The 12,812-nt window shown below is 50.9% G+C and overlaps 1 protein-coding gene across 7 annotated transcripts in view; it reads right to left on the bottom strand.

Moving 5' to 3' along the window:
• Nucleotides 1-8,261: 8,261 nt before the first annotated feature.
• ZNF324B (zinc finger protein 324B) overlaps nt 8,262-12,812 on the bottom strand; it is a 39,438-nt gene continuing 34,887 nt past the window's right edge. For all 7 annotated transcript variants that reach the window (XM_047438807.1, XM_047438806.1, XM_005258918.5 and 4 more), the window contains 3 exons: nt 12,273-12,399; nt 11,751-11,867; nt 8,262-10,912 (listed from right to left, as the gene is read on the bottom strand). In XM_047438807.1, coding sequence (XP_047294763.1) covers nt 9,516-10,912; nt 11,751-11,867; nt 12,273-12,399 — 1,641 coding nt within the window. In that variant the 3' untranslated portion in view covers nt 8,262-9,515. The remainder of the gene's footprint in view (nt 10,913-11,750; nt 11,868-12,272; nt 12,400-12,812) is intronic.

Below are 12,812 nucleotides of genomic sequence, written 5' to 3'. Positions count from 1 at the left end.
TCTCCCAAAGTGCTGGGATTACAGGCCAATTTAAGTGTCTTTGACACATAAAAACGAAAGGCAGAGCAGTCTCAATGTAGACTGTCTTGTTTGGCAGATAATAAAAGGTTCTTTGTCTTGTTTTTGGAACCTGTAGACAGTTCTCAGCTGTCCAGTTCCTTAACTCTTTTTGCCTCCCTCCCTCTATACCTACCTCCATCTATAACTATCTCTCTGTCAACTGTCAGCTATAACTGTCCACCTAATTGATTCTACTTGTAAATCCTTGTAGAGCAAGGGAGCTCATCATGTTTGGAATGTTTTAATATAAATTTTGCTACTTTGAAAGAATTTAAGAACATTTCAGGACTGGGCGCAGTGGCTCACACCTGGAATCTGAGCACTTTGGGTGGCCAAGGTGAGCGATCACTGGAGCCTAGGAGTTTGAGACCAGCCTGAGCAACAAAATGTGACCCCATCTTTATAAAAAAATATAAAAATTAGCTGAGCATGGTCTTGCATGCCTGTAATACCAGCTACATGGGAGGCTGAGGTGGGAGGATTGAGTTCAGGAGTTGGAGTGTGCAGTGAGCTATGATGGAGCCCCTGCACTCCAGCCTGGGTAAGAGAGAGACCCTGTCTCAGGAAAAAACAAACAAAAACCCTGAGGGGGAAAAAAAAAACCCCAACACTTAGAAGTATTAAAGTTCAGGGCCGGGCGCGGTGGCTCACGCCTGTAATCCCAGCACTTTGGGAGGCCGAGGCGGGTGGATCATGAGGTCAGGAGATCGAGACCATCCTGGCTAACAAGGTGAAACCCCATCTCTACTAAAAATACAAAAAATTAGCCGGGCGCGGTGGCGGGCGCCTGTAGTCCCAGCTACTGGGGAGGCTGAGGCGGGAGAATGGCGTGAACCCGGGAAGCGGAGCTTGCAGTGAGCCGAGATTGCGCCACTGCAGTCCGCAGTCCGGCCTGGGCGACAGAGCGAGACTCCGTTTCAAAAAAAAAAAAAAAAAAAAAAGGAAGTATTAAAGTTCAAAAACCCTGAAGAAAAAAAACCCCAACACTTAGAACTATTCAAGCTGTGGCCGGGCGCTGTGGCTCACGCCGGTAATCCCAGCACTTTGGGAGGCCGAGGTGGGCGGATCTTGAGGTCAGGAGATCGAGACCATCCTGGCTAACACGGTGAAACCCAGTCTCTGCTAAAAAATACAAAAATAAAAGTAGCTGGGTGTGGTGGCGGGCGCCTGTAGTCCCAGCTACTCAGGAGGCTAAGGCAGGAGAATGGCATGAACCTGGGAGGTGGAGCTTGCAGTGAGCCGAGATCACACCACTGCATTCCAGCCTGGGTGACAGAGCAAGACTCTGTCTCAAAAAAAAAAAAAAGTAGTATTAAAGTTGTGATTTGATCAAATGCTTAGAGGCATTATTACCATTTTAAGCAATGTATGAATATTTGGAGGCATTTTAACTCTTCAAACGTTTCATTTTTTAATTTTTAATTTAATTATTTGAGACAGCATCTCACTCTGTCACCCAGGCTGGAGCACAGTGAAACAATCTTGGCTCACTGCAATCTCTACCTCCTGGGTTCAAGAGATTCTCGTGCCTCAGCCTCCCGAATAGTTGGAATTACAGGTGCATGCCATCACACCCACCTAATTTTTGTATTTTTAGTAGAGACAAGGTTTTGCCATGTTGGGCTGGTCTCGAACTCCTGACCTCAAGTGATCCGCCTGCCTTGGCCTCCAAAAGTGCTGGGATTATAAGTGTGAGCCACTGCACCTGGCCTGAGTGATATTTTCTTTTTTAGTGTGTGTGTGTTTTTTTTTTTTTGAGATGGAGTCTTGCTCTGTGGCCCAGACTGGAGTGTAATGGCGTGATCTCTGCTCACTGCAATCTCTGCCTCCCAGGTTCAAGTGATTCTCCTGCCTCAGCCTCCTGAGTAGCTGGGATTACAGGTGCCTGCAACCACAACCGACTAATTTTTGTATTTTTACTAGAGACGGGGTTTCACCATGTTGACCAGCCTGGTCTTGAACTCCTGACCTCAGGTGATCCACCTGCCTTGGCCTCCCAAAGTGCTGGGATTACAGGCATGAGCCACCGCGCCCGACCGCCTGAGTGATATTTTCTAACAAATTTTCTACTTCTCATCCTCGTGTGAGCTATAAGATGACTGGTATATGGTATGCTATCAGTCATAATTATGATTATTGAGATTTCGGCCACAAAAACTAAAATGACCAATTTTTTTTTTTTGACAATCACATCTTTAACCATGACATTTTAAGTTTTGTCCTCTTCCTTCTTGGGGAATGGGACTGCCTCAGTTGGAGATCTGGAATGATCGAAGATGTCTACTCAAGCAGGATTGTTTTTTTTTTTTTTTTTTTTGAGACGGAGTCTCGCTCTGTTGCCCAGGCTGGAGTGCAGTGGCAGGATCTTGGCTCACTGCAAGCTCCGCCTCCCGGGTTCAAGCCATTCTCCTCCCTCAGCCTCCCGAGTAGCTGGGACTACAGGCTCCCGCCACGACGCTCAGCTAATTTTTTGTATTTTTAGTAGAGACGGGGTTTCACCGTGTTAGCCAGGATGGTCTTGATCTCCTGACCTCGTGATCCACCCGCCTCGGCCTCCCAAAGTGCTGGGATTACAGGCATGAGCCACTGCGCCCGGCCATGGGCTGCATTTTTTAAAAATGAAAAATGTGAATCTGCAAGTCAATGCCTTTGAATTTAGCTTGCACAAGGATTGGTTAAGAATATCTGATATGCCTCCCTCAACTTCTTTATTTTGAGACAGGGTCTGGCTCTTTTGCCCAGGCTGGAGTACAGTGGCACAACCCACCTCACTGCAACCTCTGCCTCCTGGGCCCAAGCCATCCTCCCACCTCAGCCTCCCAAGTAGCTGGGACTATAGGTGCATGCCAGCTAATTTTTGCTTTTTTTGTTCTTTTTGTTGAGATGGGGTTTCATCATGTTGCCCAGGCTGGAGTTCTCTTCAACATGGTTGTAGGGAGTCCTTTATTAGATGGCATTTCTCATAAACAAAATCTCCAGGTTGGAGCCCTTGATCTTTGATATTTTTGTCTCCCAGGAGCTCACATTAAGGAGAGCTGGTTTGTAGGTTCCTTCATTCAGGACCATTGGAAAAGCCTTAGGCCACGGAAGGTTAAAAGTTTCTGTAAGCTTTGTAAATTGATTTTCTATTACCTTATTTGTACATTCCAGCAGTCTGGAAGACTGAGAGTAGTATGCAAAATGGACATTCTAAATAACCAGCCATATGTTAAAGTAGATTGAATTGTTTCATCAGTGAAATAGATTCCTTGGTTGCTGTGAAGCTTCAAAGCAACTCCTCAAGAAGGAAGAGGACAAAACTTTTTTTTTTTTTTTTTGAGATGGAGTTTTGCTCTTATTGCCCAGGCTGGAGTGCAATGGCTCGATCTCAGCTCACTGCAACCTCCGCCTCCTGGGTTCAAGCGATTCTTCTGCCTCAGCCTCCTGAGTAGCTGAGATTACAGACATGGGCCACCACACCCAGCAAATTTTGGATTTTTATTAGAGACGGGGTTTCTCCATGTTGGTCAGGCTGGTCTCCGACTCCCGACCTCAAATGATCTGCCTGCTTTGGCCTCTCAAAGTGCTGAGATTACAGGCATAAGCCACCGCGCCCAGCTGAGGACAAAACTTAAAATGTCCATGGTTAAAGATGCAATTGTCAAAAAATTTTTGGTCAATTTTTTGTGGCCTAAAACTCAACATAGGCCAGGTGCGGTGGCTCACGCCTGTTATCCCAGCACTTTGGGAGGCCGAGGCAGGCGGATCACGAGGTCAGGAGTTTGAGACCAGCCTGACCAACATAGAGAAACCCCATCTATGTAAAAAACTGGCACAGTTGAAAGGCAGAACATCTAGAGCTTTAAAAATCAAGGATTCCAGGCCAGGCGCAGTGGCTCACGCCTGTAATCCCAGCACTTTGGGAGGCCGAGGCGGGCGGATCACGAGGTCAGGAGATCGAGACCATCCTGGCTAACATGGTGAAACCCCGTCTCTACTAAAAATACAAAAAAATTAGCCAGGGGTGGTGGCGGGCGCCTGTAGTCCCAGCTACTCGGGAGGCTGAGGCAGGAGAATGGCGTGAACCCGGGAGGTGGACCTTGCAGTGAGCTGAGATCACGCCACTGCACTCCAGCCTGGGCAACAGAGCGAGACTCCATCTCAAAAAATAAAAATAAATAAATAAAATCAAGGATTCCACTTTAAAATGGAATCTTGAGGACCCCACAAGATGGAAATACCACAGGACAGGGCTGTGTTTCCACAGTGCACCTCACTGCATGGACATTCCCTGATGCTGGTGGGACACCCAGCACCAATTAGCCCACTCTGTGATCTGTGATCAGCCCATCTCCCAAAGGATTCTTCCCCCTTGGTGATGAGTGTTTCTATAAGTCTCCAAGTGTTCAAACCATACTTTTCTTATTTAAACATGCAAAGGAATTAGTACACCCTGCAGTAATAACCACTCACTGAAAACAACTGCTATCAGCCAAAACTGCAGCCCTTGCCAGTAACTTGCCAGCCAGTGCACACCCAAAGATCATGTTCTTTCATAGAACAAAGTAACCCTTGGTACCCCCCAAGCCAAAAGGTCAGAGAACTCAGTGTAAAAGAGATCAGAGCTTTAGACCTAAGATAAACTGCCTGCTACACTTAGGATTCCATGAGGAAGACAGAAGACTCCATAAAAGGTGTATGTGACACTTTACTGTGTTCCTCAAAGGGTCTCAGAGATATTAGAAGACTCCTCTAGATTTCTTTATGTGGTATCAAAGATAGCTAAAGGAAGAAAAAGTAGAAGAAAATGGGAGAGCTCTAAGCCAATTTGGGGAGATTTTAAGTTTTTCAGAAGGCCAATAAAACTTTACATCATACTAACAAGAAAAGAAGCAAACAAAGGGACTAAACATATGTAAAAAGGGGTTTCAGTCAACAGAAAAAAAAAAAATTCCCAGAAACAGGCTCCAAATGAGAAAAAGCAGAAAGGTATTTTTTCTTAAAAAAAAAAAAAAAGCCTGAATATCAGCTTTTAATTAAGCTGACATCTGACCATAGAATTCATTGTATTTTATTTACTTACTTTTGTGACGGAGTCTCACTCTGTCGCCCAGGCTGGAGTTTGCTATAGTTTCATAGCTCACTGCAACCTCCGCCTCCCAGGTTCAAGTGATTCTCCTGCCTCAGCCTCCCAAGTAGCTGGGACTACAGGCACGCACCACCATGCCTGGCTAATTTTTGTATTTTTCAGTAGAGATGGGGTTTCGCCATGTTGGTCAGGCTGGTCTCGAACTCCCAACCTCAGGTGATCCGCCCACCTTGGCCTCCCAAAGTGCTGGAATTACAGGCATGAGCCACTGTGCCTGGCCTATAGAGCTCTTTTTAAAAAACCTTTCAAATATCTTATCAGAGTATAGCCTGCACAAACAGAAAGTAGGCCTCCCATCCAATTTGTCTGGTTTTAGAACAAACATATTAAGTTTCCTATTGTGCACACAAATATATTACTTTAGGAATTTCAAAAGATCTCCGTTTTGGCCACTGCATTTTAGGGTCATCTCGAGTGACCTGGGTCCATTTACCTAAGTTTTTGGAAATAGGATCTCCATAGGTTTCGAAGGGTGGGGGGGTTGCTCCTTAAGGGAAAGCTCAGTTTTCATGAGCAGTTTCAAATAATTGTAGAAATACCTTTTCAAAAGTGACCAAGGTTAGTACAGTGTATTTAGACGAAGTGTGTTGCTTTGTGAGCATCACTCCTCAATGAGTCACCAGTGAGTTGTGATTCACTCTTTTATGTGTCTTGGAATCTGTGATCACCTGTGTTGGCAGAGTGCTCAAGGTACCAGATGAACAACCTTTATGTGAATCTTCTGGCTGAGCTGAAAGCCCCTGAAGGTGTTCTTCTTGCAGAAGAAGTAGGGAGACCCTATGAGGCCACTATGCATCATGAACAAACATCCCGACACCTTCATAAATCTCTAGTCACCTAGAATTGGGTTTAGAGGGAGCAAGTGCCTCTTCACTCAGGGACAAGAGAACTGATATGGTTTGGATGTGTGTCTCCTCCAAATCTCATGTTGAAATGTGATCTCCAGTGTTGGACATGGGGCCTAGTGGGAGGTGTTGGATCATGAGGTATATTAGGCCATTCCTGCATTACTATAAAGAAATACCTGAGGCTGTGTAATTTATAAAGAAGAGAGGTTTAATTGGATCACTGTTCTGAGGGCTGTACGAGCATGGCTTCAGAATCTGCTTCTTGCTAGGTTCTCAAGAAGCTTACAATCATGGCAGAAGGTAAAGGGGGAGGAGGCATCTCACCTGGTGAGAGCAGGAGCAAGAGAGAAAGGAAGGAGGTGCCACAGACTTTTAAATAACCAAATCTTGTGAGAACTCACTACCTTGAGGACAGCACCAAGAGATTCAAGAGCGATCCACCCCCATGACCCAAACACCTCTCACCAGGCCCCATCTCCAACATTGAGGATTACATTTCAACATGAGATTTGGAGGGGACAAACATCCAAACTATAGTATGGGGGCAGATTCCTCATGAATAGCTTGCCACCATCCCCCTTGGTGAGAAGTGAGCTCTTGCTCTGAGTTCATGAAAGATTTGGTTGTTTAAAAGTGTGTGATGGGCTGGGTGCGGTGGCTGACACCTGTAATCCCAACACTTTGGGAAGCTGAGGCGGGTGGATCACTTGAGGCCAGGAATTTGAGACTAGCCTGGCCAACATGGCAAAACCCTGTCTCTGCTAAAAATATTATACAAAAATTAGCTGACATGGTGGTGCACACCTGTAATCCCAGCTACTCAGGAGGCTGAGGCAGGAGAATCACTTGAACCCAGGAGGCAGAGGTTGCAGTGAGCTGAGATCGTGCCATTGCACCCCAGCCTGGGCAACAAGAGCAAAACTCCATTTCAGAAAAAAAAAAAAAAAAGTGGGCCGGGCGCGGTGGCTCACGCCTATAATCCCACCACTCTGCTGTGAGGCCAAGGCGGGCGGATCACAAGGTCAGGAGATCGAGACCATCCTGGCTAACACGGTGAAACCCCGTCTCTACTAAAAATATTAAAAATTAGCTGGGCGTGGTGGCGGGCACCTGTAGTCCCAGCTACTCGGGAGGCTGAGGCAGGAGAATGGCGTGAACCCGGGAGGCGGAGGTTGCAATGAGCCGAGATCGTGCCACTGCACTCCAGCCTGGACAACAGAGCGAGACTCCTCAAAAAAAAAAAAAAAAATGTGTGACACTTCCCCCCCGCCTTGCTTCCTGTCTTGCCATGTGATATGCCAGCTCTTCCTTCATGTTCCATCATGATTGCAAGCTTCCTGAGGTCCCACCAGAAGCCATGCAGATGCTGGTGCCATGGCTGTACATCCTGCAGAACCATGAGCCAATTAATCCTCTTTTCTTTATAAATTACCCAGCCTTAGGTGTTCCTTTATAGTGACACAAAACAGACTAATAGAAGAACTCACCCTCATGAACCTTTCAGTTTGAAACAGAAATTGGTTACCATTGAAAAGACAAGACTGAGTTACAAGCAATAGGAAACAGCTGCAACTTTAAAATCATGGTATGTAGGCAGGCGCAGTGGCTCACGCCTGTAATCTCACCACTTTGGGAGGCCAAGATGGGCCGATCACTTGAGGTCAGGAGTTTGAGACCAGCCCAGCCAACATGGTGAAACCCCGTCTCTACTAAAAATACAAAAATTAGCCAGGTATGGTGGTGCAAGCCTGTAATCCCAGCTACTGGAGGGGCTGAGGCAGGAGAATGGCTTGAACCCAAGAGGCAGAGCCGAGGTTGCTCCACTGCACTCCAGCCTGGGCGACAGACTGAGACGCTTCATGAAAAACAAACGCAGTGGCTCACGCCTGTAATCCCAGCACTCTGGGAGGCCAAGATGGGCAGATCACCTGAGGTTGGGAGTTCGAGACCAGCCTGACCAACATGGAGAAACCCTGTCTCTACTAAAAATACAAAATTAGCCGGGCATGGTGGTGGGCGCCTGTAATCCCAGCTACTCAGAAGACTGAGGCAGGAGAATCACTTGAACCTGGGAGACGGAGGTTGCGGTGAGCCGAGATTGTGCCATTGCACTCCAGCCTGGGCAAGAAGAGTTGCCTTGAGACTCTGTCTCAAAAACAAACAAACAACTGAATCATACCCTGGAATAGAGACAGGAGGCTGTGCTGTGGAGGTCCACACGGCTGTAAAGGAAACTACATCTATTTGAAGTTGCAAATACTAGTCTTTTTTTTTCTCCATTGAAAAGACCATTAATTTCTTGGAGGTGAGGTCTCAGGTAAGGATGGGGCCTAGTAGGCTTAAGGCCACAGGAAGCAAATGACCCCCAGTCTACCCTTTTGTCTCTGCCATGCAGGCCCATCACACTGGGTTGGGGAGGTCCTCAGGAGGCTGTCACACATGGCCTTAGGTAATGGCAAGTCCTTCCTATTCAGCTCTCTGTCCAGCCTCCAATTGAGGAGGCATAACAAGGGAAAGGTGAGATGGAGGGGGTGGGGGTGGGGGCGGGGATCGGCCACCAAATCCAGCAAAAATGAGCAGCTCCACCTTATCTGCTCCAAAGCTATCACTGTCTCCACAGGTGTAAAGGCTCCTCCTCACATCGACTTTTGTAAATGAGTGAGCGACAGGCCTTGGCCAAGCTGAGACTTGGACGAAAACCTGAACGAGTGCCACTGGAAAGCCATCATCCTAGGTTTGTCCTTCCAATGCTGAGAACCATGGGCATTCCTCTCCTGAGTCAGCTGTGTGACCCCAGGCCAGGCCCTCACACCTGGCTGACCAGAGCACAGCCCAGGAGCTGGCAGTGAGCACACATTGACTCTCATTAGGATCCCGTCTGTCAGCATCTGCAAACATGATGCTGAGTTGACCCAAAGCTTTTCTTTTTCCGAGGAGGAGGCTGACACTCACAGGCCACACCCTGATCCCCAGTCCCCTGTAGTCTCCTGTTTGCTGAGATGGCCCCCAGGAAGCCTTGAATAGAGGCCTCAGGGGGAAAATGTCCTCAGCGTCCGTCTAGCGGCCAGTTTGTGTGCAGACATCATAAGTTTCTCTAGGTCATCCTACCCCATGTCCGCATCCCCCTCACCTCAGCATCCACTCTCATAACACATGAAGTAGCACCACCATGCAGCGCTGCCTTTGTCGGCGTCCTATGGCCCCAACTACAGCCTCAGCCCCACCAGAGTTCCAGCTGACATGTCCTCCCTCTGATGTTTCTGCAGTGTTACCTCTTTGAGGATGGAGGTGTGAGCTATGACTAAACTGGCAAATCCTGTCCCCACCTGCAAATGGAACCACAGCCAAAGGGTCTCCCTCGTCCCTGACTCTCAGGCACAGAGCTTTTCCCCATCGTGGATCTGAAGAGCACTCGGACCCTTTAGCTGTGGAAGGGATTCACAGAAGGCCAAGAAAGGGTTGGGCTGCGACCTGTGACCTCAGACCTTCGCTGGCTTCAGGACTGGGCTTGGCTTCCCTCCCCGGCGCACCTTCCGATGATGTCCCTGAAGGAAACCTGGCCCCGGGGTGCAGTCTGGTGCTGCGGCATTGGTCTTCTCTGTGGTGTGGATCCTCTGGTGGTGCAAGAGGGCAGGGCGCTCACGGAAGGCGCGGCCACACTGCGTGCACACGAAGGGCTTCTCGCCCGTGTGAATGCGCCGGTGGCTGAGCAGCACGGCGCCCTTGGCGAAACCCTTGCCACAGTCCACGCAGCGGAAGGGCCGCTCGCCCGTGTGCAGGAGCTGGTGCTGGGTGAGGTTGGAGCTGCGGCTAAAGGAGCGGCCGCACTGGGCGCAGGCGAAGGGCTTCTCGCCTGTGTGCACGCGCTGGTGCAAAAAGAGCGAGGAGCCCTGGCTGAAGGCAGCACCGCAGAGCGCGCATACGAAGGGCTTCTCGCCTGTGTGCGTACGCTCGTGCTGGATCAGGTGCGAGTTGCGGCAGAAGCGGCGGCCACACTGTGCGCAAGCATAAGGACGCCCACCCGCGTGGATCTTGCGGTGCTGGCTGAGGTTGGAGCCGTGGCTGAAGGCCTTGCCGCACTCGGAGCAGCGGAAGGACTTCTCGGCCGTGTGGATGCGCTGGTGCCGCACCAGCGAGGAGCTATGCCGGAAGGCCTTGCCGCACACGGGGCACGCGTAGGGCGTCTCGCCGCTGTGGATGCGCTGGTGCTGCGTCAAGTGCGACGTCTGGCTGAAGGCCTTGCCGCACTGGGTGCACTCGTAGGGCCGCTCCCCGGTGTGGGTGCGTAGGTGCTTGAGGAGGTCGGAGCTCTTCACGAACACTTTGCTGCACGCCCTGCATTCGAAGGACTTCTCCCCAGCGTGAAGAGCCTCGCCCAGCTCGTCCCAGGTCGAGGGCTCCTGGCCACCGAGGAGTCTATGAGGCTCCTGCCAAGCTGCGCCCATTCTGCGATCCCTGCCACCACTGGCGGCCTTCAGGTCCGAGGCATTCCCGAAGGCTCTCCCAGGGACCTCCTGTGCACATGGCTTCTGCCGCTCAGGCGTCCTGGGCTGCCTCCCAGGCACCCGGTACTCTGTGAAGGTCTTTTCCCTGGGCCGGCTGCTCTTGGGGGGCCTGAGTGGGGAGGTCAGTCGCAGGCTGATGCTGGCCTGGTCACTGCGCGAGCCTAGCAGGAGCCTCTCCCAGTAGATCACCGACACCCCCGTGGGTTTTCTCTCCTGAGATGGGGAGGCACCCGGTTGTCGCTGCAGGCTTTTTACACTGTGGCAGGCATCGGCAACTGGGAAGACGCTAGTAGTCATCCCAGGTGGGGTATCTGGGAAAGCTCGTGGCCATTCTCCAGAAACATCTCTATCCTCTGTCAAACTCCAGGAACCTAAACGCAGAGAAACGGTGGTTGCCTGGGGCATCCTGGTTAGGAGAGGACCAGGGCAGGCTGAGTGGACAGGCAAGGGGGAGCCCAGGAGCCGGGACAAAAGCTTAGGGAAAAAGAAGAGGTGAGGCTGGCTCTGCAGGAGGGGCTGGGGTTTGGAGGAAGCATCTGCCCTGACAGGTGTGGCACTGACTGCAGTGGGGACTCCCATGATCAAGGCGGCAGCCCCCAGACACCCAGGATGTGAAGCTGAGGAAAACAGCAGCTGCTGCGTGCCACCCACGTCTCCACACTGGCTGTTCCACCCCCTCCCTTTCCATAGCTCACTCCCTTCTCCCCTGGTGCCCCGTCTTGGGCACCCACTCCCAAACCTGCTCTTGCAATGACCTCCAACCAATGCTCAAGACTGCACTCCTGAATCCTACGTACTCACTGCGTCTCCCCTAGCACCATCAGCCCCACAAAGGCAGGACCATGAGTGTCCTGGTCAAGGCTGTGTCTACAATGCCCACAAGCCCTCAGGAAACATTTGATGAATACAAAGATAAATGATGGGCGAAATAAATACCTATCAATAATGGCTGCTAGTTGTGGAGGGTTCAAGGCCACACAGCCCAGCTGAAGGTAGGCCCTTCTGTGTGAACCCAGCTCCTGTGCCCTTGGAGCTCTCCCTTCAAGGGCACCTACTAAGGCAGCAGCCTCCAGGAGAGGCTGATGATGGAAGAGAAGGGAGTCAGGTAGGAGGCAGGAGAGGAGGATGTGTTTCCAGAGTCAGAAAAGCAGGGACATGGGCTTGGCCACAGGTTGGTCCTTAGTTCACCCCACCTGAGCTCCCACTCACCAGAGTTGAGCCTCCCGTAGGTGTTCCTGGCCAGGGTCATGTCCTTTCCACTGGGAACCCAGGGCTCCTCGCCACGCTCAAGTTGAATGACCACACGAGGTCGGGAGGTAGAGAGTCCTGTGAGGAGGAGCAGGTGAGAGCCCAGCCCCAGGTCAAGACAACCCACCTCCCAACAGAGAGCAGGAGTCAGGGCTTCATGGAAATAGACAGTAATCTGTGCAACTGGGAGAATCTAAAGATAGCACAGGGCAAGGGGCTCATAGGAATAGCTCATGTGTCCCCAGAGCAGCAACTGTGCCCAGAGCACCAAAGCAACGGGACTGAGCCCAGGCATGAGAGAGGCCACAGCTGGACAGGGCGGCAAGGAGTGGCTGACCCAACCAAACTTTGTGTCTACAGGACCAGACCCTTGTTCCACGTGGCCCTGGCCAGATTTGATCCTGCTCATCAACCAGGAGGGAAGTGAAGAGGCAGTCCTGATTGTCACCAAGTGCACTTTTCATGGAGCACCCAGGGCCTTACCAAGTGAGGTCACAAGTGTGAAGTTTTCCAGCATCACGTGGCGGTACAGGGCCCTCTGCGCTGTGTCCAGGAGCCCCCACTCCTCCTGGGAGAAGTACACGGCCACATCCTCGAAGGTCATCAGGTCCTAAAACAGCAGGGAGGTGGAGGTAGGCATGGTCTAAGGTATGGCTGTGAGCCAGGACCAAGCTCCCCATCCCAACAGTCACCTCCCCCAGTGTCCCTCCTTCCTTGGGTTCCACCCCGAGATTATCTTCAGGTGGCACTTCCCTCACCTGTCTGGGACCCCTCCCCTCTGCCCTCCTGGTCCAGGCCCCAGATGGCTTCTTGACTTCCCCACTGGCCACCCCTACACAAGCAGGCTAGAGCAAGCCCTGGCTGGGCCCTTAGCTGCCACACCAAGGGCAGCCCCAAATATCCACTCGTGACTCAGCATGACCATTCATGACCCTCCCCAGATGTGCCCTTCTTGCTTTTGTAATAAGCAAGGGTGTAAGTCCCAGCTGTGGACCCCCCAGGCATGCCCATCACTGAGACCTT

The sequence above is a fragment of the Homo sapiens genome, chromosome 19 (genome assembly GCF_000001405.40).
Source record: "Homo sapiens chromosome 19, GRCh38.p14 Primary Assembly".
NCBI lineage: Eukaryota > Metazoa > Chordata > Mammalia > Primates > Hominidae > Homo > Homo sapiens.
This window is presented reverse-complemented; position numbering and strand designations above follow the sequence as displayed.